The following is a 22,624-nucleotide window of genomic DNA, read 5'->3' as shown; positions in this document are numbered from 1 at the left end:
ACTATAACTCATGACTGAGCAAAGCTCATCCAACACATGCATTTTCTCTGTAAGACACATCGCAGCCTTCTAGCATCAAGGAGCACCAGCCAGGGCCTCACTCTGATGCTTGAGGGCCATTTTCAACAGCGAAATCCCCAACAAAAAGTACAAAAATGCGGGAAAGGTGGCCCTGAGTAGACGGGGGAAAGTCGCTCGTTGAGTTTGACCTCCGCAGGAAATGTGTGCATCCACAAACGAAACTTCTCAGTGCTCTGCTGATGTCCAGGAATGATCACAAAAGTGCCACGAGGATTGATCTGGGGGTTACAAATAAATTTTTGCAAGTCATCAACTTCACAAATATGGAATCCGTGAATACTGAGGATTGACTATATGCAAAACTTTAGAGAAAAAAATAGAAATCTAACCCGCAGTGACAGAAAGCAGCTCAATGTTTGTTTGGCAGCAGGGTAGGAGCAGAGATTGACATAGAAGGACCACAGGGCACCTTCTGGGTGATGGAAATGTTCTCTATCTTGGTGGTTACACAGGGGAATAAATTTGTAAAACCCACTGAAATATGCACCTAAAGTGTGGAGACTTCGATGTATGTAAATTAGACTCAATAAATTGACTTTACAAAAACTCCTTAGCATGATGCCTGATCATTCCTCCACTCCTCTAGGGATCTCGGGATCAGCTCCCTTGGGAGGGGCGCTATGGGACAGAGGAAGAAGCTTGGGCTCCATCTGGAAGTGGTTTGCATCTCGCCCCCACCCCCGAGACAGGGCATGTCTGACCCAGGCCTTCAGCTTCTCCCTTCTTTCCCACTATGTCCATCAGGACTTTCAGTTGAAGATGACAGAAACCCAGCTCGGACCCCCTTAGACAAAACAATGGCTCTGCCATAAGATATGGCTACACCTACAGCTCAAGTGCCATCACCAAGCCAAGGTTGCCCACCTTCTCTGGACTCTATGTTTCTCTGTCAGCCTCACTCTGGGACCACAGGCAGGAAGGTGGTCACCAACAGCTTTTAGAACTCCAAGGGAGGGAGCGGAGCCTCTCTGTCCCAGTGAGGACCCAGGAGCAGGCATCCTTTGTGCCTCTCCACAGCCAAGGCCATGGAATGTGCTGATGTCAGGCCTGGGTCCTATGCCACTCCCTTTGGAGAACAGAAATCAAGGAGGGAGGGATTCTCCCCAAAGGAAAATCTAGGTGCCGCCACCAGAAGCTGGGGGAGAGATGGGGACCAGGCAGATGCAGTAGGTACCCGACACACAGCTTGCCCTGAGCCGGGGCTACCTTTCCTGAGTGTGTCATAGACACATCAAGAACCCAAACCTGGCAGGGAATAAACGAGAAGTGGGAATTAAACTCAATATTCTAGAACCCCATGGAAAACAGCAACATATTCTGACGTTCAGTATCCCAGGGCAAAGAGTGAAAAGACTTCCTCTTCTCCCTGCAGCTCCCCCTGGCTGGAAGACACCGCCTGGCTTGTTCCCCCAGCCCCGTGCTCCCACTTCAGAATCCAGGGGCCATTGAGTCCTCTGCCACAGAGACCCCACCGACCCAAACATCATGCCCCTGATTTTGGATCAACACCAATTATTTTGAAAACAATTTTCCTGGCATCCCAAGGGCTCTCTCATGCTTCTCTGGTCTTATCGTGCTTCTATCTTTTTGGCAGGTCCATGACCAATGGAACTTCTTGACGACCACTGAATATTTCAGACTTTAGCTACTAAAGGATCCATTCTGCTCTGTTACCTTCAAGAACCTTCTTTAAGGATACAATGAATTTTCCTCCAATTTAATAAAATTTATTAGGTATCTGCTTAATTGGAAACAAGAGGACAGAGATGGTTCCTGCCCTTGTCTCCTCCCTGCTAATTTTTATCCTTCTTATTTATTTTCTTGTGTTACTGCATTGGCTAGGACTCTATGACGGTGCTGAATTGTAGCACTGAGTCAGCATCCTTGTCTTGTTCCTGCTGCTGATGTTTCAACATGAAGTATAAAGTTTCTTCCATATGTCTGATATGTGCCCTTTATCAGGTGAAAGAAATTTCCTTTTATTTCTAGTTGCTAAGAAATTGTGATTTTTCTTTTTTTTTAGACAGAGTTTTGCTCTAGTCTCCCAGGCTGGAGTGCAATAGTGCGATCTCGGCTCACTGCAACCTCCGCCTCCCAGGTTCAAGCGATTCTCCTGCCTCAGCCTCCTGAGTAGCTGGGAATTACAGGCATGCGCAATCATGCCCAGCTAATTTTTTTTTTTAAATAGAGGCGGGGTTTCATCATGTTGGACAGGCTGGTCTTGAACTCCTGACCTCAGGTGATCTACCTGCCTCAGCCTTCCAAAGTGCTGGGATTACAGGCGTGAGCCACCACGCCTGGCGATTTTTTTTAAATTATAAATTCCTGCTGTAATTTATCAAATGTTTTTTCAAGATCATATTTTACTAGTATCTGTAATCCAAACAGTATTCTATTTCTTTCCTCTGACAAAGGGACGAGTCTGCTGTGGTCCTTTCATGTGAGACCCTCCCCTGGTTTGCCAGCGCCTGTCCCGTGAGAGTCCAGGGCACGCCTCAGCCCACAGGATCTGTGGCAGCAACATCCAACTTGGGTATTTGATAGCGAGGTCAGCACCTATGACAAAAATCAAAAGAACAGTCAAGATCACCCTTGAAAATTGCTTAAATTGCCCATAAAAAAATACGTGGGTTTTAGGTCTCAGGCCCTGAAAGAATTCTAGAGCGTCCCTGCCTGCTGGGCTGGCTGCCTCCTGCTTCAGTACTGAGCTTTATTGTATAACTTTAAGCTCAGGCCGGGCGCCGTGGCTCACGCCTGTAATCCCAGCACTTTGGAAGGCCAAGGTGGGAGGATCGCTGGAGTCCAGCAGTTCGAAATAAGCCTGGGCAACATAGTGAGACCCCATCTCTACTAAAAAAAAAAAAAAATGAGTCAGGCATGGTGGCACCTGCCTGTGGTCCCAGCTACTCGAGAGCCTGAGGTGGGAGGATCACTTGAGCCCAGGAGTTTGAGGTTGCAGTGAGCCATGATCTCACCACTGCACTCCAGCCTGGGCAACAGAGCAAGATCCTGTTGCAAAAAAACAAAAACAAAAACTTTAACACTCATGAATAGGTTTCTTATTTGCTGGGAGCTGGGTTCTCAAGTCAGCTAGAAGTGGGACGAGACAGGTCACTGAGCCATGCATGCAGCAGGGGCCGGATAGCCTCTCCTAGAGTGGCCAGGAAGGCCTCTTTGTGTCCTCTGCATCTGGCCAAGGATGGCCCAGACTCCCAGGGCCTCCCCACTCCCATTTGCAGGCACAGTGATCAGGCAGTGATGGAGTCTTCCCAAGCCTGGCTTCCCTTGGGTCCTCAGGCCAAGTTGAGCCAGACAGGACCTCACTCTCAGCTTTTGTGTATGGTCCACACCACTTAGGAAGGGGGTCCCGCCCACTGACCCCTTAGACCTGGCTCTGGCCTTGACTGTGACTTTCCTTGCTTTAATGCCACCCATTTCTCAGCTCATCTCTTCCTCACAGGCCACACTGCAGCCGCAATGGCCCCTTCTTTTTCCTGAAATGCCCGAGCCCATTCCTACCTCAGGACCTTTGCACTGCCTGTTCCCTTTGCCTGGAATGATTTTTTTCCTCACCACACAGGTTTTAGCCCACATGCTGCCTCCTCAGACAGACGTCCCTGGAAATCTTCTTCAACTAGCACCTCTGTTCCATCACCCTGTCACATAACCGTGTTTACTTTCTTCTGAGCGTGTATCATCATCTATGCCCCCCATCCCTGGAAGAAGATCTTGACTGTCTTGGCCACTTCATATGGGTACCAGTCCTTGGCATAGTGCCTGGTGCATAGTAAGCACTTGGTGTTGGTTGACTGACTAAACAATGGCATCCTGCCTGCCCCATGCTGCCAGGTTCAGCTCCGGAGTGTCTCCCTCCCTCCCCGACACTGACTCCCCTCCAACACTGCCTGCCTAACCTTGGGGTCCCGATGCTCATAGCCTTCCTGGATGCCACCCCAGAACTCCAGTTCCACTTCCTAGACTGGGCCCTATCCCCACGGCCTGCTCCCACCCCCATGAGCAGCTGAATTCCAGAGCTCCCCGCCTCCGCGCCGCATCCCCCTGTCTGATCATCCTGCCCCAGGACCCAGGTTGGCCAGCGGTCGAGGCAGCTGCAGGCGTCCCAGCTGCATGCGGGGCCTGGCTCTGCACATCTCCATCTGCCCACCTCTCCGCCCTGTGTGGGCCACCGGACGACCGTCCCTCGGCAGCACCTCCCGCCCCATTCATCCCCATTAGCCGCTGTCCACACTGGGCCTGAGGGAGATCAATTCCCAGCGCCAGCCACTGAGCCGTGTTAATGAGGATGTAAGCGCCCCTGCAGCTGGGGTGGGTGGGAGGGGCAGGAGGAGCCCAGGACACGGAGCAGGCCATGGGGGATTCCTCACTGAATGCTGGGGGTCAGGCTCCCTCTGGGGATGCTGGAAGATGCCCCCTGTAGGGCGGAGACCTTCTCCCAGCCCTCCCCCAGGAACTGCAGTTTAGCTCAAGCAGAGAAAGAGAGCAGAGGAAGAAACCTGGCTGGGGCTTAGGGACCAAAGGAGCAGGAGCCATGTGGCTTACTGTTGAGCAGAGGGGCCAGGCCAGGTACTCCTGCCTCCCACCCGTCTGAGCATTTCCTCAGGCCGGTCCCTCCACCAGGAGCACCCTCCTTGCCTCTACCCAACACACCACCGACCTGCAAGACTCCCAGACCACCAGCTCCCTTACCTCACACAGAACCACTCCAGCCCGGGGGCTCCCCACCCCTTGGAGCTCACTCTGGTAATTCTGACTATGCCAAATCGTACTGATCTGCATGAACACACGCTCAACCTCTCTCATAGGAGCCGTGCAAAGGAGAACCACAAAGAGAAACCATTTTCTTCCAACAGATTGACAAAGATGAACCAGGTGGGTGAATGCAGGGGGGACTCCGGCTGCTGCCAGCGGGAGGGCAAGGGTTCTGCCCAACGGTATCTGTGGCACCGTAAATCAGTATGACCTCTTCCGAGGGCAATTTGGCAACAGCTATGTAAATTAGAAATGCAGCTGCCCTTTAACCTAGCAATTCACTTCCAAACATTTATCCCACAGAGATACAAGTGCCCAAAGATAGAATCCAAGGGTGTTTCCTGCCTAGAAACCTCCTGCATGTCCAAGAGGATGGGCTGAGTCAGTCGGGCAGTGTCCACCCAATGGGGCACTCCTGGCTTCCTCGCCTGTGCAGCAAGACCAGCAGGTGCCTGTCCCTTGAATTCTTAGGAGTAGATCAGTTAATATAAATAAAGTGCTCCAAGAAGCGTCCAGAACATCGCAAGTATAAATTCTTGCTATTATTATCACTTTGCTGTTGTTGAAAATAACTGAGTAGATCTATACGTACTGACACATCATTATCTCCCAGAAATGCTGGTCAGTGAGAAACGCAGACAGGGTGTACGGAGGCCTCCGGTGGGCCATGCGGGTCTGCGGATGTGGCTCTGGCCTGCTTTGTTTCTTGAGGAGCTCGGCTTTCTAAGGCATAGCCCATGTCCAGGGTGGCACAGACAGCACTGGCCACAGTCATTGTCCTTGGGAGGGGAAGGGGACCACGGGACAGGGGAGAGAGGGGATTTGCACTTATCTTTCCATGCAGTGTGTGGTTTTTAGCCACCTGCCTATACTACCTATTTGAACAAATCAATAACTTCTTTTGTTTGTTTGTTTGTTTGTTTTTGAGACAGAGTCTCACTCTGTCGCCCAGGCTGGAGTGTATGATCTCGGCTCACTGCAAGCTCCGCCTCCCAGGTTCACGCCATTCTCCTGCCTCAGCCTCCCGGGTAGCTGGGACTACAGGCACCCGCCACCACACCTGGCTAATTTTTTCGTATTTTTAGTAGAGATGGGGTTTCACCATGTTAGCCAGGATGGTCTCGATCTCCTGACCTCGTGATCCACCCGCCTCAGCCTCCCAAAGTGCTCGGATTACAGGTGTGAGCCACCGCACCCAGCAAATCAATCACTTTTAAAGCCTGGTGATGTACCTATCTGTGTCTCCCCCGGACGGTGAGGCCCTGGGGCGCAGGGACTGTGTTGGAGTCACTAATGAATTCCAGGTGCCCAGCACTACCCGGCGCACAATGTTACTTGGTGAACACTGGCTGATGGCAAGCTGGCTGGATTCCACATGGTCCTGCTGGAGGGGACTGCACCCACCCTAAGCATGATTCCAGGGAGGTTCCCACAGATTGAGAGTGGGACAGACTGGAGCAGCCTGGGAAGGGGCTGGTGGAGGAAAGCAGCTCTCTGGCGGGAAGGCAGACCTAGAGAGCTAATTCCCAGACAGGATGATCCCAGGAAGCAGGACCCAGGTGTGCAGGTGCAGCCAGGCCTCCGGCACCCAAGGCAGCCTCTGGTCAAAGGCTGGATGCTTGGGCCAGAGCAGAGGCCCCTCTCTTTGCAGGGTACTGACGTCCCTATCTCTCCACATAGCTGCCAAGGGGGCCAGGGAGGCATTACTGTGGCAACAGCCTTGGCAGGGCTGGGGGTTCCTTTGTGACTTTCCCACCTCTGATGGGCTGACGCCCAGACCCGCCAGACCTGTGGTAATGCTGCCCATCAAGCCAACGCCTGGGCTGAGGAGCAGAAATCAGGCCCCTAGGCCTGAGCAGGGACCTGCCGGGGCTACCTCCATCATCAGCCCTGATTTGGGGCTACCCTCCCATGGCCCTCGTCCTCCTGCCCAGTGAAGCAGGAGGTCCTGGCCATGCCTTGTACCAATTATGCCTTAGCGTGGGAAGGGCCCCAAAGTGGGCACAGCCTGACAGTCCTCATGCATCGGGTAGAAAGGAAAAGCATGGCTTGCCCCTGCTGGGAGGTACCCCTGCAGTCATGACACGAACCGGCTGAATGCACAGGCTTTTTTTTTTTTTTTTTTTTTTTGAGATGGAGTCTTGCTCTGTCGCCCAGGCTGGAGTGCCATGGTGTGATCTTGGCTCACTGCAACCTTCACCTCCCAGGCTCAAGCGATTCTCCTGCCTCAGCCTCCAGAATAGCTGCGGTTACAGCCGCCCATCACCACGCCTGGCTAATTTTTTTTTTTTTTGTATTTTTAGTAGAGATAGGGTTTCACCATATCTCTACGGTGAGACCATGGTCTCGAACTCCTGACCTCAGGTGATCCACCTGCCTCAGCCTCCCAAAGTGTGGGATTACAGGCATGAGCCACTGTGCCCAGCCAATTTTCTAAGTAGAATGGGTTCCTATTTTACTTGTGCTGTCAAAAATGTGTTACCGTTAAAATGAAAGGTCTTTGCTCCATCTGGCATTCACAGCAAGGCCCGCTCCGACTGCCCCATTTAGTGCCAGGCCTGCCCCCTGCCTCACCCCTGCTTGGTCCGCTGTGTCCCCACTGGCAGCAGGGCAGGCTCACGCGATGATGTTCACTGTGTACCGTCTCCTTCCTTCCTTCCTGGACCCAGGTCTGCAAACTCCAGCCGCGGGGTGGATCCCACCCGCTAGTTGTGTTTATAGAGCTCAAGAGCCAAAAATGGTTTTCTGTTGTTTAATAGCTGAAAATCAAAAGGAGGATGATATTCACGACCCATGAAAATCACACGAGGTTCGCCGTCAGCGTCCACAAGTACGATGTGATGGGGACACCCCGCACGAGACTGCTTAGCCCCACCCGGAGCTGCTTTCCACCATGAAGGCAGAGTCAAGGGGAGCACGGCCCAACAGCCTAGCGGATTTAAGTAGGTTGGTGCAAAAGTAGTTGCGGTTTTTGCCATTATATTTGACCTTTGGCAGACAAAGCCGACTGCTTCCTGGCCTGGGCTGTGAGTTCCACGAGGTGGGGCCTTTGTTTTGTCCCTCACGTAAGTGCCCGCGGCAGTGCCTGGCAGCGACGGGGTGCTCCGCTGCCCTGGCTGAATGAGTGAATGGAGGTGTAGGTTGTGGAGCACATTGCGTCATCCTCCTAGAGAGAGTGACGCTCACCCCTTTCTCCAGCTCTATCGGGCGGACACCACCACCCACCCAGCCCAGCAAGTGGGCTCGGGCCCTGTAAGCACTGAGAGAGGCACCCGTGGGCAGGCAGCATCATTTGCTCCACTCCCCAGAGAAGACAGGGCAGAGGGTGGTAAGGCCTGGATTTGGCACCAGCGGGGTGGGCCCAGGGTCTCTGGAACGATGGCATGGGCTTGCTTGGCCCTAGGGGTCGCCCCAATGACTCTACACAGAGCTCCTTCCGCGAGCTGAGCCGGCTGAGCTGCGTGGGCGGCACTTTGGCGCCCTCTGGTGGTAACTGGGAGTGGCTACCACCAAGGCATCTGTGGCCTTAGCCTCCCCAGAAGGAGCTCCTGCCCGTCCTCTCCAGCCCATATGACCACCTCACCCAGAGATAAAGGAGCTCGCCAGCCTGGGTGTTCTCTGTCCCTCCAGCTCTCTCTGTAGGGTATCTTGGTGTCACAGGATGTCCTCCCACCAAGCTGATCAGGGAGCTGCTGGCAGCCTCTCCTGTGGTTAGACAGGGGACTCCCAGGCTGCCAGACAGTGTGCACCTGTCTCTACCAGTATGCACCTGTCCCTACCTAACAGATGAGTGTGCATCTCATCCTAACAGACGGTGGGAGGTGACCTTGGTCCCAAGGCCCAGGGACCCTCCTAGAGGGATGGACAGTCTTACAAGCTCCCTTGTGTTTTTGCATATCTGAAGAAGCTGCATCATCTGTGGGTAAGAGCCCCTTGGTGCAAAGAACTGCTCTAAGTTCTACTGGGGGACAGGAAATTTGTCTGTAGCCAGCCCAAGACCCCACTTAGCAGTGATCATCACGTCCTTGTCACCACGTATACATTGCACATTAGCAACTCTTCCTTGTCTGCCTCCAACAAGATACTGGGCTCTGGGAAGGCAGGGGCAGGTCTGAGCTGCCTCAGTAACCCCAGCCTCTAGCTAGGGCCTACCTAAGTGAATGGCAGTGGATAGCTGAGTGAGTCGATGGAGGATGAAGATGGATGGATGGATGGAGGGATGGGTGGGTGGATGAGTGAATGGATGGAGGAAGGGTGGATGGGTGAATGGATGGAGGAAGGGTGGATGGGTGAATGGATGGAGGAAGGGTGGATGGGTGAATGGATGGAGGAAGGGTGGGTGGGTGACTGGATGAATGGATGGGTGGGTGGGTGGATGAATGGATGGATGAAGAGTGGGTGGATGGATAGATAAGTGAATGTGTGGATGCATGGGTAGGTGGGAGGGTGGGTGAGTGGATGGATGAGTGAATAGATGGATAGATGAGTGAACATGTGAATGAATGGGCGAGTAGGTGGATAAGTGGATGGATGGATGGATGGATGGATGGACATGTAAATGAATGGGCAGGTGGGTGGTGGGTGGTGGGTGGGTGAGTGGATGATTGATGGATGGATGAGTGAACGTGTGGATGGATGGGTGTGTGGGTGAGCGGATGGACGGGTAGATGGTGAATGTGGGTGGATGGATGGAAGAATGGATATCCAGTAGCAGAACTGAGCTTTGGAGAACTCCGTGTTCCCAGCCAGGGCCTCAACCACTCCTACTCATCACTCCCATCCCATCTCTTCAATCTTGTTTCCAAACATATCTTGGTTACACCACTTCCTTGTGCTTATGCCGTTTGCCCCTCCCCACTCCCACCTCTCCAGCCACCCCAGGCTCCCTCACATGGAGCCCACGCTGGCTTCCAGGCCTCTACAGAAGCTGGTACCAAAACCTAGAACATCGTTCCCCCAGAGCAGCCCAGAGATGGTGCCCCTCCGCTCGCCTTCTCCCAGGCCTCCCTGCAGTCACTCCTGCTTTATTCATAGTATGTATTACTAACAAAAATGCTGGCCAGCTTGCTTTCCATGTCTTCCCCACAAGAATGCAGCACACAGGCAAGACCTTGCCCTTCTCTGTATCTCCACCCCTGAGTTGATGTTCAACTCACACTTGGGGGATGAATGTACCGCCCTTATTTTGAGTACAGAGGTTTTACCCAAATATATCAGACACACAGGACAGGTGTGGTGCGAAACTCCAGCAGGAGGGTCAGATTGGTGTGCCTCCTCCCAGCTGTGCGCTCCAGGCAACCTCCCTCCCCTCTCGGAGTCCATTTCCTCATCAGGAAAAGAAATTCCACCGCACAGGGTGTTGTGTGGTTTGAGGCATAAAATGAAAGTGAAAATGCAAGACACATGCACAATGCTGCCAGCTGCATTTATTGTAGCATGTACAAACCACTCACAGCCAGCGCCTGTCAGGGGCCCAGGACACTGGCCAGCGGGGCCAAGGAGCCACATTGCTGGGCACATGCCCCATACCCTGGCCACCCGGCAGCAGTGCCCAGCATCCCTCAATGACAGAGCAGCCAGGACCCCAGCGGTGACTGTCCCAGAGGGACCTACAGGGGCATGGGGCCAAAGCTGGGTCCTGCACCTTGTTTGGCCTGCAGATTTGATTTCTGAATTAATTTCTGCCAACAACTTAAAAAATCAGGACATCTCACATACAAATCTGTATTTCTGGCTTCTCCAGATTTCTGTCATTAGGCCTGCATTCCCACACCAGAGCAATTAGCTACACCTGAATATGGCAGCGGCCACTGTCAGACGGGGACCCGTGCTCTCCCCCCCATCCCCACCGCACTCTCTTGGTCTCAAGGAAAGTGGCTGTTACCGACTAGATTGTGCGAACTTTCTCTCATCACGATGTCTTTGTCTCCAGCAACAGTGGGAAAGTCAAAGTGAAGCAGGCTCCCAACTCAAGGGCCTGTTTCATCCATTTATACAACATACGTGGCCCCAGGGGCATCGGAGTTTGAGATCTCTGGACGAGCCCAGGGAGGGGGCGGCAGGATCACTCCACACACACCCCTTCACATAGCTGATGAGGCGGAGCTGAGGGCAGCAGCCAGCCTTCCCAAGCCTGAGCCAGTTGGCTCTGAGAAATTCCCAAACTCTCCGAACCCCAGAGCGCTAGTAGGCAGGCACAGGCTCTACTAGAGTGAGGTTGCGGGAGGAAGCCAGACCCAGGGAGTGTGGGGCTGGCATGCCCTCTAGTGCCCATCAGGCAGCTCTGCAGCCACGGTGAAGATGCTGAACTTGACTCCTAGGAGTCAACCATCCAGATCCCCCAAACAGGCTCCCGCCAGTCCCATGGCTTCCAGCTACTTCTTTTGCAAAATTGTCCTGACCCCCATCCCACCCCTCAGACCCTCTCCTGGGCACTCTACTCCCACCGCAGTCCCCAGCAAGGCCGCCCTTCCCAGGCTGCACCCTCTTCAAAGCGGGGTCCAGCCTCTCCATCCTTCAGGTCCCCGTGTTTCACTCCAGATTGGCCCGCAGCGGCCTCGAGGTGCAGGGAATAACCCTGCAGAGGTGGGAGGCCAGCTCCTAGTGTACAAGGGTCAGGCGGCACTTAGGTGAGTAGAACGGGCCAGCTGGGGCCCTTGGTGACTGGGGAGGCAGTGTCCCAGGTAGTGTTGCCACCGAAGAGCCGGCGTAGCCAGGTGGTCATTCTTCAAGAGAAGCTGTGGATCTGGACTTTTATGTGAAATCTACCAATTTTTAAAGGTTGGCTCAGGGTATAAACCACCCAGGCCAAAGAAAACATGTCGGCTGGGTGGGGCCGGGCCAGGGGCCCCAGTCAGAGAGTTCTGCTGAGGCCCCGCCGTGGACAGGACCTCGGAAATGGTGGGCGTAAGCCAGTGGTTTTCAAAGTCATCATTCCATTTGCTCCTGAGAGGCAAGCAAGAGAAAGAAAATTCTTGGACCCATTTCAGAGTCTGGGACACTGAGGCTGAGGTGGGTTCCTGGCAGGCTCAAAGTTACAGCTCATAGAAAAGAGTGCTCTGAAGCTGTGTGAGGCAGTGGCTCAGGCAACGCGCCCCATACAGCTACGCACAGAAAGGTGCGTCCCAGCACTGGGGGGCAGGGAACGGGGGGGACCCTCCACACAGCACCTCCCACCCCACTTGGCCTGCACCCTCTGAGCTGCGCCCTTCCTAGTCCCCTGGAGAGTCCACCACCCCAAATGTAGCCGAGACGGTGGCTCCCTGTGCACACGTGTGCCTGCATGTGTGTGTACACACGCATATGGGACAAGAGGCCCAGGCGGAGGCACAGCAACTTCCTCCGTGGGTGGACAGCACAGCGGTTCAGGCGAACCCCTCAAGGCTCAGTCCCAGCAGGAACATCTCCTGCAGCCTTGCCCGTCAGGAGTATAGTAGGAGGGTCCTGGGGGGCCCCCCAGAGGCCTGCGTAGGCCAGGCATGTGGCCATGGCCTCTGGCGGCCTCACCAGTTGGCTTTCACTGCCTTGATGTCACTCACGAGGTTCTGGGCCAGGCAGATGCCAAAGATCTGTAAGACAGAGGACAGGTGAGGGGAGAGTGAGGGCGGCCCCGGCAAGGGGAGGGGCACGTGGGGCCACAAGGGTACCTGGAGGAGGGCGATGCCCATGAAGACTCCCGCCACCACAATCAGGTTGTCCTGCAGCCACTTCTCAAACTGGCCCACGCAGCCTTTGGTGTGGATGAAGCCCTGCTGCTCCAGCTCCTGGGGACACGCAGGCACCAGGCTCAGCCTACCTGCCCTTCAGGCCGGCTCCCACCCTCCCAGCCTGCCAAGCTCACGCCCACCCCAGGGTCTAAACCTGCAGTACCTGCTCCCCACAGTCCCTCCACAAAGCCGGCTCCTTCTCATGGGGTCTCAGCACAGATGCACGCCCCCTCCTGCCTGCCCAGCTTCTCTCCTATCACCTCCCTTATTTTCTTCCAAGCTCTCAGCTGAGACTGTCACATGGCTGTTCATATTGCTTTCTCTAAGGGCTTACCGTCTTTCTCCCTCCACTCCTCCAGAGCCGACTGTCTCATGAGCACCAAATCTCTGGCCTCTAGGGCAAAGCCGGGCACCCCAAGGGTGCTCCACAGAGCAGAACTGAGCAAACCCACATCTGCCCAGGCCCAGGGGTCTACTCCCCCTCCGCTGCCTGGGTGTCTGGCTGGTTCCTGGGACTCAGCACCCTCTCCCCAAAGAATCCCTGAGGCCTTCCAGAGGAGGTTATAGACACTCTCATACCCAACCCAGTACCCCTGCCTGCCTGCCCCAGCCCGGTTCCTACCCCTCTCACCAGTTTGAGCCGGACGTCGTAGCCACACTGGGTGTTGAGGACATCCTCCTGAGGGGAGACAGGCCAGTTAGTGACTTGGTGAGGACGCATCCCATGGGGTCCATGGTACCTGGGCAGTGCGGTGGCTTTTCCTTCTCAGAGGACGCAGATGGGCCCGTGGATTCTGCCGTGTCCACCAGTCTTAAGTGAGCCTCTCTGAGGCCCATGTGCTTTTGTTTTTTTTTTGAGACAGGGTCTCACTCCATTGCCCAGGCTGGAGTGCAGTGGCACGATCATAGCTCACTGCAGCTTCGACCTCCTGGCCTCAAGTGATCCTCCCACCTCAGCCTCGCAAGTAGCTAGGACCACAGGAGTGTACCACCATGCCCGTCTAATTTTTTTTTTTTTTTTTGTAGACACGAGGTCTCACTGTGCCGCCCCAGCTGGTCTCAAACTCTTGGACTCAAATGATCCTCCCATGAGCCACCACACCTGGCCCCACGTGCCTCTTTCCCAGACGCTGGAATGCGTGGCTGCAATCGCCAACCTGGACCTGCCTCCGTTCAGGAATCCTGCCTGCTGGTGTGTTATAAGAATGGGGAGAAACCTGGTCCTTGGCATCCCAGATGGACTATGACTGAAGAAACATCATCAGGAGAGGTTTCTGCCCTGAAGAAAGTCGTAAAGGGACAGAGGTCCCCACTCCCTGCTACCCTGCAACGGTGGCCCAGTGGGGTGCTGGCTGGCAATGACCCAGGCAACCCCCGTCACATACAACCATAACTGAGAGTGACAGCCTGGCCAACCTTCAAGCTGGCCAGGAGCAGACAATGGCTGCGGCTGTGTTTATGTAGAGGTATAGGGTGCAGGGAGGCCTCCAGGCCAGTCCCCATCCCTGTGCCCCAGGGTCCTGCTGTTTCCATCTCACTACGATAAAAAAGACAGGTCTTGCTGAACAGGGAAAGCAGCCGCGCCCCAACAGGCCTCAGTGCCACCCATGTAAAATGACGTCCCCCAGCATCCACGCCCCCAGAGCAGGGCAGAGCGGAGCGGGGCCCTGTGGGAGGTTTCTCCAGAGTCTGTGCACTGGAAAGTCCCTTACCTCTCCTCCCCCAGCCCCACTCACCGCAGGGTCCCTGACGCAGCAGGAGAAGGGCACCCCGCAGCGCTCCCGGCTGGGGTTCAAGTCAGTGCAGTTGAAGTAGATATTGAGGTTCCAGTCATTGGGGCCTCGGGCTCCGCAGCAAGACCACTGTGGGGGCAGGGGAGAGCCCCAGGTGAGCCAGGCCCATCCCAGGAGCCTCACCCTGTTTGGGAACAAGCCCAGGCTGCAGGAATACAGGGCTGTCTGGGACAGGGCTGGGACAGCCAAGTGGGTGGCCACCTCCCCACCCCCACAGGCCTGGGCCCAACCTCCAGGCTGGTGGAGGCAGAGGGGTGCAAGGGAGGGGACACTGAGCTCCCCCTTCCCCGACCCAAGAGAGGCTAGAAAAAGGGAGGGAGTGGGACAAGGATACTGGTTCAATGACTGTGGCTTCCTCCAGACTACCTGAGAGGCAGGCGCTGGGCCAAGCCCTGTGGCAGCAGAGACCGCTGGGCCCCATGTCTGCAGCAGGCCTCCCACACTTGCCCCAGAGGTTCTACAAAGCCCTCCTCTCTTCAGTGCAGGGACAGGAGGGGAATCCTGCCACCCCCATAGCCGTGCCACCCCATTTCCTCCATGCCGGCTGGCATCATCCCACACCCCATCACCCCCACCCAGAACACCCTAAGCTGTCCCCTAGGCAGGAGCAATGGCGAGTTTGGGATCTGCCATGAACCATGGTCTTGTGGGGCACACGGGTGCACACAGCCCTCACTGAGCAGCAGCGCAGGGGCTGGAGAGCAGCCCACAGGGCTGGGGGAGCTCAAGCTCGGCAGCAGACACAGGCAGGCCCCGTGGCCGAGCCAGAGAGCTGGAGGAGTCAGGCCTGCCACATGCCCTGCATGTGCTGGTCCCAGGGCAGGGCTCAGCCTCCACCTGCCTCCTGGCACCTGCTCAGCGCCAGCTGCTCCTGCTACAGAACACTCTCCCTTCTCTTCCTTCTCCTCCTTTGGGAGGCTTCAAGCTCTCCACGCAGAGGCCTTCCCATTCTCCACCCTTCATTTTGACTCTTACCACAATGTACAATTTTGCATACACACGTATGTACATGCACACATTTGTTTGTTCTGCTTGTTCACCATCTGTCTCTTCCCGACTGCCAGCCCTGAGAGGACAGGTCCCAGCTTTCTTCCCCGCCGAATCCTCAGGGCCTGGCTCTGGGTCCGGCATATGGTAGGCCCTTAACAATCCTGTGCTGAATGAATGAATGAACTGCATCATAACTGCCTGGCTATGTCTGCCTCTGCCCTGGGTTGAGAGCTGCTTGAAGCAGGCACCAGCTCTGCTTCACCTCTGGATCCAGAGCTGACTCTTGGTGGTGAATGGTGCCAAGGGCCTGTCGCCGTGTGTGGGTGTGATCGGGTGTGACTCATGTGTGACTGTGGGACCATGTGTAGGTGTAGGTGTGATCAAGTGTGCCTGCGAGTGTGTGACTAGGTGTGGTTGTGACTGTGGGTGACAGTGTGTGACTGTGTGTTTGTGGTTAGGGGTGAGTGGGCGAGATGGTGCAGGTGGGAGGCAGATAGGGTTTCAGGAACTCTTCTCTGGCTGCTCTTCACTGGGGTTAAGTTTGTAAGTTTGAGGGCAGACCTTCCATCAGGGGTCTAAACTCTAATATACACAGAGGCCAAACATAGTATAAATGAGAGATAAGGGCTGACAGATATAATAAAATACAGAGTGTTGGGAACAATGGCAAACAGAGAGCCTCTGTACCAGTGAAGGGGCAGCAGCAACATAGCTGCAGCCAATACCGTGGGCCCAAGGTTTAGCAGAAGTAGAAATCTATATTTTATGTCACATTTCCTCCATTCTCCCGTGTGTCGTAGGCCCTGGCCTGGGAGCTGCTAGCGTGGAGCCCATGCCCTCTGTTTCCCAAGGCCGTGGCCCTATGGCACTAGGCAAATGGGGACCCATAAGGATCAGCAGGGGCTGGCTCTCCTCGGACGAGGACACTCCTGGGTCTCTCTCCTGGGGCCCGCTAGCCCAGGTGGGTAAGGAGATGGTCCCATCACAGGGAACTTGCTCCCTCATTCGTCTGCCAGGAAGGCGCCTCCTACAGGTGTCCCAGGCTGGACACTGGACTCACGTATTCCTGAGCAAAGTCAATGAGGTTCTGGAGGTCAATGTCGTCCCGGTAGGCCTTGACGTTGTTGTTGATGAAGAGGTTGAGCTGGTCTCGAATCCAGTCCTTGAAGACAAAGGCCAGGATCCCTGTTGCCAGCTCCAGGAAGAAGATGAGACCGAGGAACACGGAGAACTGGGGTTGGGCATACAGACAGTAGGGGTTGGAAACGCAGGGCTCTGGTGACCTCCCAGGGCTTGGGTGTGCCACAGGGAAGGGCTCCATCCCTACCTCCACCAAGACCCAGAGGCGCCCAGAGCCCCCACCTTCTATTATTTTAGTATTGTTATATGATGGTAATAGGCATCTGTTGTTACCTACCCATCCAATTCCCTTTGTCTGGTAATCACACCCTGCTGTCTCTGAAAAACCATCCTCCATGCAAACCTTTAGTTTCCAAGGTTCGGATGGAGACACCTCCCCAAACCCACCAGTCCCAGATACAGGACTGGCAAGTGCCTAAAGCCCACCAATCAGAGCACTGCCTCCCTCGGCCTCCAGGGATTGGTCCAGAGGCAGCCAATCAGAGCCAAGGAAACGCAATTAAAGCACTTTGGGAAAACGGTTGGGAAGAGAGCTCTCAGCCTCCAGCAGGAGTTCCTGGGAGGGCATGGGGAAGCCGGCTCTGTTCCTGAGCCTCCTGCCACCTGGGAATGGAGCCAAACGGGGGGAGCCCGAGAAACAGGGAGAAACCAGGCCAAGTGAAACTGTGGCAGCCCCTGGATCAAAATGCACCGGCAGCCAGCACAACCCTGGACTTTTCTTATTTGAGTCAATAAATATTTTATGCTTGGGCCACCAGGTCTCGGTCACTTACCATACCACGGAAAGGATCCTAGTAAATATAGACAACATGAATCTAACGATGACGATTATAGCATAATAATAAAGCTACCCATCATTAAGCTCCAACTGTATTGCAAGAACTGGATGGGAGGAGATGGGGGTTCCCAGGGGATCTTGAGGGCAGCACTCACAAACTTGAGCAGGAAGGTGTTCTCCCGGAGGGCCCCAATGCAGCCAGCAAAGCCCAGCACCGACATGACGCCTCCAACTACCACAAACAGCCACACGGGGTCAAGGCCTCCCAGATCTGTCAGCGCTGAGATGTTCGAGAGAACGCCCTGTGCCGGGCAGCAGAGGCAGGTGTGGGGAGCTGACCTTCCCACCACCTCGTCCCATACCAGCTCCACGCCCGCCCGCTGCCTTACCTTCTCACCCCAGGCCCAGAGGCCGATAGCCAGGAACAGGGCTCCCAGCACCTGCAAGGGCAGCAACAAAGAGCTCAGGGCTGGGAGCAGCCCCAGGACCCTCCCCCCTCATCCTTCCCCGGTAGCCAGGGCCTTTCCAGCGGAGAGAGGAAGAGGCACAAGGGCTGTGAACGGGATCCGGGGTCCTTTCCATCTTCCCAAGAACACATCCCAGTGCTTCTTCCCCACAGGACACAGCCTGGAGGACTGAACCCTCTGCTAGCCTTGGGATGGACATCAGGGGCCCCTTCCTGGAACTCCAAATTGGAGCAGACGGTGGCCAAGACACTCCTGCCAAGGAGCAATAGCAGCTGTGTCAGCGGGGGTAGCGACGGCGCCAGTATACTGAGCCTCTACACCTGACCGAAGCTGGTGCTGGGGTTCCAGGCTCCTAGCCTCCTTTCTGCACCCTGCCAAGTCCAGCTCTCCTGCTACCCTAAAGCCGTGTGACTGCGGCCCCGCCCTCAACACTCCTCCCCAGCCCAGCCCCATCCTACCCCTTTAACCTCCGCCTGCCAGAGTCAGCTTCCACGGCTCACGACCAGACACCCCTGAATGACAGGAATCTCAATCATCCCTAGCAGGATCCACCTAGGATCTGGCCTGTGCCAGTGGCTTTGCCCCATGGCCACAGCTCTGCCTGGGCCTTCAGAACACCAGCTAGACTCCCCACCGGGGCAGTCCAAGTGCCTCTCCTCCATCCTCAGCTTTCCCACCTTCCTGCCTCAATTCCCTACTGGGAAGAGCCCTGGATGTCCAGGCTGGTCACTCTCACACCTGACCCTGGGCAGGTCCCTGGGCGTGCAGTCTCAGAGGGGGAAAGGCTGTCGTACCCAAGCCCAGGGCCATGACCCCACCTCCTGCGACCTCCCCACCCACCTGCTTTATCTGCAGGCTCCTTCCCCTCAGCACATAGCCACGGCCAAGGCCTTTATCACCTTCCCTTCCCTGACCGTGGGCTCCCCACACTGCTCTATTCTTTCTCTGGAAACATCTTCCCTTCCCTCCTGCCTGCTGGGTCTGCTGATGTGAAACCAAACATCACTTCTCCTGCCTCCTCCCACTTGGCCTGCCCTTGGCCTTCAGACAGGGGACTGAGTGCCACTTTCTCCTTCCTGAACCCCACCTCAGTTAACTCAACCCCATTCCTCCCCGAGCTCCTTCCCAGGATGCTCCGCCTTCACCTGCCCCGGGGATTGGTCCAGAGGCAGCCAATCAGAGCCAAGGAAATACAATTAAAGCACTTTGGGAAAACAGCTGGGAAGTGAGCTCTCAGCCTCCAGCAGGAGTTCCTGGAGGGCTGTGTTCCTGGAGGGACCACCTGTGGCTGGTCCCACGGCCTCCAGCCTCAGCCTTCTGCCGTTCTTCCTCCTCACGCTCGTCTTCCATCCCATCATGACGCTGGCATCTCCCGATCCCCACCCAGACCTCATGCTGGTCCCACACCCCTACGTCCACCCGCCTGCAGCAAACACCTCCACGACCCACCGGCACTGATCGCCGCCATGCCGGGGATTCGCTGGTGAATAGGACGGACTCGACCCTCACGGAGCTTACACTCCAGCAGGGGAGATGGACAGTCAGTGAGCAGACAAGGAAACCTCAGATGCAAACAGACCCCTTAACAAATATCGAGCGGGGCGACGAGATGGGGGATGCTGGGGTTGGACGCCAGCTTTAGAGAGGGCAGAAGGGAGGGTGGGGGCATTTCAGCTGAGGTTTGAATGATGAAAAGAGCAAGAGGGAAAAGCCTGTTCCAGGAGGAGGGTAGGGCACAGGCAGAGGCCCTGACACAAGACCACGTCTAGTTCAAGGAACAAACTGAAGGGCGGACAGCCCGGCCCCGCGGGGCCCTGGAGGCCGACAGTACTCTAGGAGCAGTAAGAAACCACGAGCAGGATGGCCGGGCGTGGTGGCTCACGCCTGTAATCCCAGCACTTTGGGAGGCCAAGGCAGGTGGATCACCTGAGGTCAGGAGTTCGAGACCAGCCTGACCAACATGAAGAAACCCCATCTCTAGTAAAAATACAAAATTAGCCAGGCGTGGTGGCACACACCTATAGTCCCAGCTACTTGGGAGGCTGAGGCAGGAGAATCGCTTGAACCTGGGAGACGGAGGTTGCAGTGAACCGAGATCGTGCCATTGCACTCCAGCCTGGGCAACAAGAGCAAAACTCTGTCTCAAAAAAAAAAAAGAAAAAAGAAAAAAGGAAACCACAAGCAGTTTCCAAACAGAACAACACCAGGGTCTGCCTGACATTAAACATGAAAACCTCTGTGCCTGTTCCACAAGCAGCCTCCCTTAGGCCACCTTAACCCAAATCTGAAATCCTCCCTCCAGCCCCCAAGTGACCCAGCCCAGTCAATTCAGCCTCTTGACTTTCCCAGCAACCTCCCTCACCTTTCCCACCTCACCATCCCAGCTTTGCCCCAGCCCTGCCCCCATTCCAAACCTCCAGGCCCTGCCCCTCATCCACCCTCCACACAGCAGCCAGGCAAGCGGTCTCCAGAACAGAAGCCAGATCAGACCCATCACTGGAAGCCCTCGCTTCTCCATGCCACCTTAACATAACACCCCACGCTCCGCCCCAGCAACAAACCCGGGTCTCTCACGCCTGCTCCCCCTCGGTATTTGAGGTTACTTCTGCTCACAGCTCTGCCTCACCTCCACCCTCTGCCCACTAAGCCGTCACCTTGGCTCTGTACTTTCTGGCTGTGTGACCCTAGGTAAGTGACTTAATTTCTCTGTGTCTATTCCTTCAGTTTCCCCATCTGTAAAATGCAGATAATAAGGCAGTTGTGAGAATACAACAAATTGAACTCATTGTATCTGCCTAACAGCCCTCACAGGCAGATTCTTTATCGTCGTCTCCCAGGCAGGCAAGCTGAGGCCCGGAGAGGAGAGATGACTTGCCCAAGGTGTCCCAGCCAGGCCTGCTACAGCCAGGCCTTCTGACTTCTTTGCCAGTGCTCCCACACACTGCCCACACCCTCAAGAGCCTAGCGCTGCAGTGCAAGGACACCCACCACACCAGTGAGCTCGGTGACACGTGGGTGGGGGGCAGTGCCACTGAGTCTTGCTGAACACAAGGGAAAAGGCCTGGCATCTTGACCCAAGGCCTCAGGAGCAGAGACTGCAGAGGGCCACGGCTTTGGAGAGATGGGAAAAATGACCTGGCAGGGCCCAGGGGGACAGATGCCACCCTGGGAGGGGCACTAGTAGCTCCCTTCCCCGGTAGGGGCAGACCCGCCCAGGAGCCTCAGCTTGTCAGCTGTGGAATGTTGAATTCTGTTCCCCAAGGCCAGCTCCCAGGCTCTCAACCGGGGAGATCCTCTCCCAGCCGCCAAGGACTCGCCATTGTCCCTCCCTGCCCCTCCTGGCAGGTCAGCCTCCTTGTGCGGGACTGGGGTGGGCAGAGGACTGTGACCCACCCCACTCTGCAGGAGCCTAAGGTGAGGCACCTGACCCAGGTACTACTGGAAGGGAAAGGAGGCCGGGGAAGGGGCCTGGCGGCTCCCTTCACGCCAGAATCTCCTTACCGGCTAAACCAGGGGTGGGGCTTGGCACGCATCCCACATCCCAGGGTAGGAAGGAGGGCTGGGCGAGAGGGGGCAACCTGCACCTAGCACGCCCCTGGGGTCTTCAAGGAAACACCTTCCCTTTCTCCACCAGGCCTCGGGATTATTTAGGGAGACTCCCTACCCCAACCCCGACCCCACGCTGTCGCTAGGACCCGCCCCCAGCAATCCGGGCCTCTGTAGCTACCTCGGGTGGTCCTGGAAGTGGGCGTGGGTGTGGCAGAAGTGGGGGGATGGTCCCGAGCTCCAAACTCTTGGGGCAGGGAGTGGTCTCCCCCAGCAAAAGACTGAATCTCCCTCTCCCACCACCCCCCAGCACAGGGCAAGGCGCAGACCCCGCGCTCACCCAGAAGACAATGTTGAAGCCAAACAGGAAGTATTTCCCGCAGCAGCCGACCTCAGGTTCCTGGAAATGCTGGTGCTTGCCGGGCATGGTGAGCGGCCACCCGCCGGCCCGGAAACCGGAGCCGGGAGCCAGGCCCAGCGCCCCGCGGGCCGCCCTGGGCTAGAGCCGCCCGGGGCCTAGCCGGGCGGCTGCGGCTTCATGGCCTCGGCCACACAGAGCGCCGGTCGGGCCCCGCCCGCCCCTCAGGGACCGCCCTCAGCATCCAGACCTCCTTGCCCGGAGCCCTGCTGTCCCCGCCTCTGGACCGGGCCCCGCCCCCACAGCCCTCAGTCCCTTTGGAGTCCCGCCTCCTGACCTGGCTCCGCCCCCATAGATCAACTCAGTCCCGCCTGAGCCCCGCCTCTGGACCTGGCTCCGCTTCCCGAGCTCCGCCCCCACAGCCTGATTCGGACCTCCTCGCAGCCCCGCCTTCGGCCAGGCCCCGCCCCCGCGCAGGCCGCCGCCGCGTTTCCCAGCGTCCTGCAGACCCGCCCGGGACGCCGGCTGATGGCGCCGGAGGCCGCCGGGGTGTAGAAGCCTTGCTTCCCCTGCTGGGTACCAGCGCCATCCCAATCCCCAGCCTGCTGTTGGAGCCCATCCCAGGGGAAGGTTAACTGCTGCTCTGGCAGGCGAATGGGGAAGCTGGTCCGGATTGAGTTTTTAACACGTGCAGGACGTTTTGTCATTGTGGAGTCGCATCAGGCTCACCTTCACCCAGCGGAAATCCAGCTCTACTTATCCTGACTCAAACTCAGGCCAAACGAGGGCCTGGGCCTTGGTGCCACGCCGGCTGCGCCCTGCCAGGGGCATATGCCCCCCGGAACCTGGCTCAAGCCCCCTTGGTGGCTGAGTTTCCCCAGCCACACCCCCTGTCCTCCATACTGGCCAGGGTCCCGGTCAGGCTCCTTGGTACCCAGTGATCTCACATGAGCCCCTGTAAGACAGGACAGAGGCAGATCAAAGTTTGGGGGAAC

At 56.3% G+C, this 22,624-nt stretch overlaps 1 protein-coding gene and 1 long non-coding RNA gene across 6 annotated transcripts, besides 7 other annotated features; both read right to left on the bottom strand.

Annotated features, from left to right (window-relative positions):
- Positions 1-1,786: 1,786 nt before the first annotated feature.
- Positions 1,787-9,091, bottom strand: LOC124901144 (uncharacterized). The gene is made up of 2 exons (XR_007059072.1): positions 7,334-9,091; positions 1,787-2,637 (listed from the first exon to the last, which is right to left on the bottom strand). It is a non-coding gene; the product is annotated as an uncharacterized LOC124901144 (long non-coding RNA).
- Positions 2,704-2,930: a silencer, noted in NCBI's record as "fragment chr5:176093385-176093611 (GRCh37/hg19 assembly coordinates)". NCBI's record gives its function as "represses an EF-1alpha promoter that drives an FKBP-Casp9 reporter gene in an ReSE screen in K562 erythroleukemia cells {active_cell/tissue: K562}" and the evidence as "EXISTENCE:reporter gene assay evidence [ECO:0000049][PMID:32094911]".
- Positions 7,835-8,558: an enhancer, noted in NCBI's record as "H3K27ac-H3K4me1 hESC enhancer chr5:176087757-176088480 (GRCh37/hg19 assembly coordinates)". NCBI's record gives its function as "activates a minimal SCP1, AML or CMV promoter by ChIP-STARR-seq in primed H9 embryonic stem cells {active_cell/tissue: H9 hESC(primed)}" and the evidence as "EXISTENCE:reporter gene assay evidence [ECO:0000049][PMID:30033119]".
- Positions 7,835-8,627: a biological region, named in NCBI's record as "H3K27ac-H3K4me1 hESC enhancer GRCh37_chr5:176087757-176088480".
- Positions 8,368-8,627: an enhancer, noted in NCBI's record as "active region_23690". NCBI's record gives its function as "activates an Ori minimal core promoter by ATAC-STARR-seq in GM12878 lymphoblastoid cells {active_cell/tissue: GM12878}" and the evidence as "EXISTENCE:reporter gene assay evidence [ECO:0000049][PMID:35858748]".
- On the bottom strand, positions 10,263-21,830 carry TSPAN17 (tetraspanin 17). 5 transcript variants are annotated; one of them, NM_012171.3, is made up of 9 exons: positions 21,612-21,830; positions 17,648-17,698; positions 17,414-17,560; positions 16,401-16,571; positions 14,294-14,419; positions 13,180-13,236; positions 12,498-12,614; positions 12,358-12,419; positions 10,263-11,796 (listed from the first exon to the last, which is right to left on the bottom strand). In NM_012171.3, exons 1-9 carry the CDS (start codon positions 21,696-21,698, stop codon positions 11,616-11,618), a joined length of 999 nt encoding a protein of 332 aa, NP_036303.1. In that variant the 5' UTR covers positions 21,699-21,830; the 3' UTR covers positions 10,263-11,615. The 5 variants fall into 5 exon arrangements, with proteins under 5 accessions (NP_036303.1, NP_569732.2, NP_001006617.2 ...); NM_130465.5 differs by having other exon boundaries at positions 13,189-13,236; NM_001006616.3 differs by having other exon boundaries at positions 12,390-12,419; positions 13,189-13,236.
- Positions 17,785-19,583: an enhancer, noted in NCBI's record as "VISTA enhancer hs2007". NCBI's record gives its function as "enhancer in: heart[3/7]" and the evidence as "EXISTENCE:transgenic organism evidence [ECO:0001131][PMID:17130149]".
- Positions 19,701-20,570: an enhancer, noted in NCBI's record as "H3K27ac-H3K4me1 hESC enhancer chr5:176075745-176076614 (GRCh37/hg19 assembly coordinates)". NCBI's record gives its function as "activates a minimal SCP1, AML or CMV promoter by ChIP-STARR-seq in naive H9 embryonic stem cells {active_cell/tissue: H9 hESC(naive)}" and the evidence as "EXISTENCE:reporter gene assay evidence [ECO:0000049][PMID:30033119]".
- Positions 21,599-22,258: a silencer, noted in NCBI's record as "silent region_16664". NCBI's record gives its function as "represses an Ori minimal core promoter by ATAC-STARR-seq in GM12878 lymphoblastoid cells {active_cell/tissue: GM12878}" and the evidence as "EXISTENCE:reporter gene assay evidence [ECO:0000049][PMID:35858748]".

The sequence above is a fragment of the Homo sapiens genome, chromosome 5 (assembly GCF_000001405.40).
Source record: "Homo sapiens chromosome 5, GRCh38.p14 Primary Assembly".
NCBI classification, from domain to species: Eukaryota; Metazoa; Chordata; class Mammalia; order Primates; family Hominidae; genus Homo; species Homo sapiens.
Note: the sequence above shows the minus strand (reverse complement) of the source record. Positions and strands in the feature narration are given on the sequence as shown.